The 3,052-nt window shown below is 44.2% G+C and overlaps 1 pseudogene; it reads right to left on the reverse strand.

The window, feature by feature from the left end:
• Positions 673-1,172, reverse strand: RNU4-7P (RNA, U4 small nuclear 7, pseudogene; annotated as a pseudogene).

A 3,052-nucleotide genomic window follows, 5' to 3' on the forward strand; every position in this document is an offset into this window, starting at 1 on the left:
AGGATGCTGGCTTGGACCAAGGATGGTGCAGGGGAGGTGGTGAGAAGTGGGTTAGCAGATGTGATTTTAAGAAAGCTGAAAGAGAGAGGGAGAAACTATTTTTCTGGGATGGTGAAAACCACAGAAAGAGCAGGTTTGGGAAAAAACAACAACAACAGGACTTCAGTGTTGAGCAGACCCTGCCTCACTATTTGGGGCAGGAACCAAGAATGGCCATTGTTTAATGGCAGTTAAAGCCATTGGCCATATAATTACTTGCTCCCAATTTAAAATGTGACTAGGGGCCTGTTGTGGTGACTCACACCTGTAATCCCAGCACTTTGGGAAGCCGAGGCGGGAGGATCGCTTGAGGCCGGGAGCTTGAGATCAGACTGGACAACTTAATGAGACCACGTTCTACCAAAAAAAAAAAAAAAAAAAATTAAAAATTAGGCGGGCGTGGTGGCGCATGCCTGTAGTCCCAGCTATTCAGGAGGCTGAGTCAGGAGGACCACTTGAGCTCAAGAGTTCAAAGCTACAGTGAGCTATGAGTGCACCACTGTACTCCAGCCTGGGCAACAGAGTGAGACCGTCTCTAAAAAATAAAAAAAAAATGGCAGAAAGAAAGTACTGGAGAAAAAATTCACAGAACCTGAGATCTGGGGGAGACCCCTCTCTTAGGCCTGTTTTTTTCCCCTTTCTGTTTTAAAAACCTTTTATCCATTTTTCTTTTTTATTCCAACAAACTTCAGTCTCCATAGAGACTGTCAAAAATTGCCAGTGCCGACTGTATTTCAAGTCGTCACGGCTGGGTATTGGGAAAAGTTTTCAATTAGCAATAATCGCCCCTCGGATAAACCTCATTGGCTCCGATACTGTCACTGTGCAAAGCTTACCCATTTTTCTATGCCTGTTTTCCTCACTATAGCTTTTTGGAAATTTCTCTTTTGCTCCACTAGGAATTGGAGAGAAGAGGATTCGATGACAATCAGAGTCAGCATGAGTGTGGGTGCTGCCTGCTGCGTTTCTTTGGGACCCGGTGGGAGGTAATTGAATCCTGGGGGTGGGTCTTTCCTGTGCTATTCTCGTGATAGTGAATAAGTCTCATGAGATCTGATGGTTTTATAAAGAGGAGTATCCCTGCATAAGCTCTCTCTCTCTCTTGCTTGCTGCCATGCAAGATGTGACTTTGCTCTTCATTCACCTTCTGCCATGATTGTGAGGGCTCCCCAGCCATGTAGAACTGTGAGTCCATTCAACTTCTTTTCTTTGTAAATTATCCAGTCTCATGTATGTCTTTATTAGCAGCTTGAGAGTAGACTAATAGAGAGGGTTTGAAACGGACAGCAGGAAAGCAAGGAGGAAGCTTTCTGCTGTGTGCCTCTTGACTTCCCCTCTCTGGGTTTTGGCCATGGAGAAGATATTTTGGATAAGTTAAGGGCTACTTAAAAGTAGTTGATCTTGCCCTCTGACTAATTTAGGGGCCTGGAGTGGCTGATATCCAAGCCACTGCCACACCAGGCAAAGGGATGTCACAGATAAGTCAGTCAGAACCCCAGTAGTCAGATGCAGGCTCTCAGGAATCATTTTACCAGGATGCCTGAGGTCCTGACGTGGCTTGTGCAGGGCCCAAAAGTAGCTGGGACTCAGGCTGAGGGCGCTGCCAGAGGAAAGCTCTATTTCTGGGCAGCATAAAGCCTGTGCCAAAGGACCACAAACTAGGCTAAGTGGGAGTTTTGCCAGGCCTCTGGTAGGTCTACCGCACTGAGTAAGTGATAGTCTTCAGCCCTGAAGCCCCACCGGCCAGAGAGGCCCAGGATCAAAGGGAGAGGCAGAGGAGGAGGACACTGCCTGAGAGACCTAGCATTTTTATCAGAGACTGAACCCTGCCCTGGAGGCCCTGGCTCAGTGCCTTTCAAAGTTCCAGTTGCATGAAGGCCACCCGGAGATCTTACAAAATGCAGATTTGGATTCAGTAGGTCTACAGTGGGGCCTGAGACTGGCCAGCCCCCAGCTGAGGCTGGTGCCACTGGGCTCAGGCCTCACTTTGAATAGCAAGATTCTTTGTTATTGGATCAAATCGCCGTTGAACTGGACTGGAATGTTAACAATTTCTTCTATTAGGTAGTGGTGGAGACTCAGGGGGAGAACAAGAGTTGTAGACTCTTAACAGAAATATATATATATTTGTCAGGGTTTTCCAGAGAAACGAAAACAATAAGATGAGGTTTATTATGAGAATTGGCTCATGCAATCGTGGAGGCTAAGAATTGCCATGACATATAATCTGCAAATTAGAGACCCAGGAAGGTCAATGGAGTAATTCAGACTGAGTCCAAAGGCTTCAGTTAGGAAGAAGGCGGGAGAACACTGATGTCCCAGCTCAAGGGGAGAGAGTGAAAATGTGCCTTTCTCTGGCTTTTTTGTTCTATTCAGGCCCTCAGTGAATTCGACATTGGTGAGGGCAGATCTTCTTCACTCAGTCCACTGATTCAAATGCTCATCTGCTTTGAAAACATCCTCACAGACGCACCCAGAAATAAGGCTTTACCAGTTTTCTGGACATTCCTTAACACAATCAAGTTGACAAATAAAATTAACCATTACAAATCCACCTCTTATCAACCTGACACCCATATGTCCCTTAAAACATAATTAATCTCCAAATAAAGACAATAACAAGGTCATAATTTATCCCACAATGATACAACTATCCTGCTTGCAACTGAAACTCACTAATCCCTTCCCTGGAAGAGGAGGTAAAGTTCTTGCATAAACTTTACTCTTTGGATATCCTGTAACTTCAATAATATGATGTAAAATTAACAATACTTCAATACTGATATAAAGTCAATACATCTTATGTTACATGATAAGGGAATAAGAGGAAAGAAAATAAAGATATTTACTTCATATAGGTGTATATATATATACACACAAACATATTGGGAACAAAATAAGGAGGAATACTCATGAAAATGACAGTCCTTTCTGTAACTGGTCACGTGGTCATAGCTGGTGTTTATAACTACTTTCTTTTACTGCCCATTTTGTGTTCCCTAAGCCTTCAGCA

This window comes from Homo sapiens, chromosome 6 (assembly GCF_000001405.40).
Source record: "Homo sapiens chromosome 6, GRCh38.p14 Primary Assembly".
In the NCBI taxonomy this organism is placed as follows: domain Eukaryota; kingdom Metazoa; phylum Chordata; class Mammalia; order Primates; family Hominidae; genus Homo; species Homo sapiens.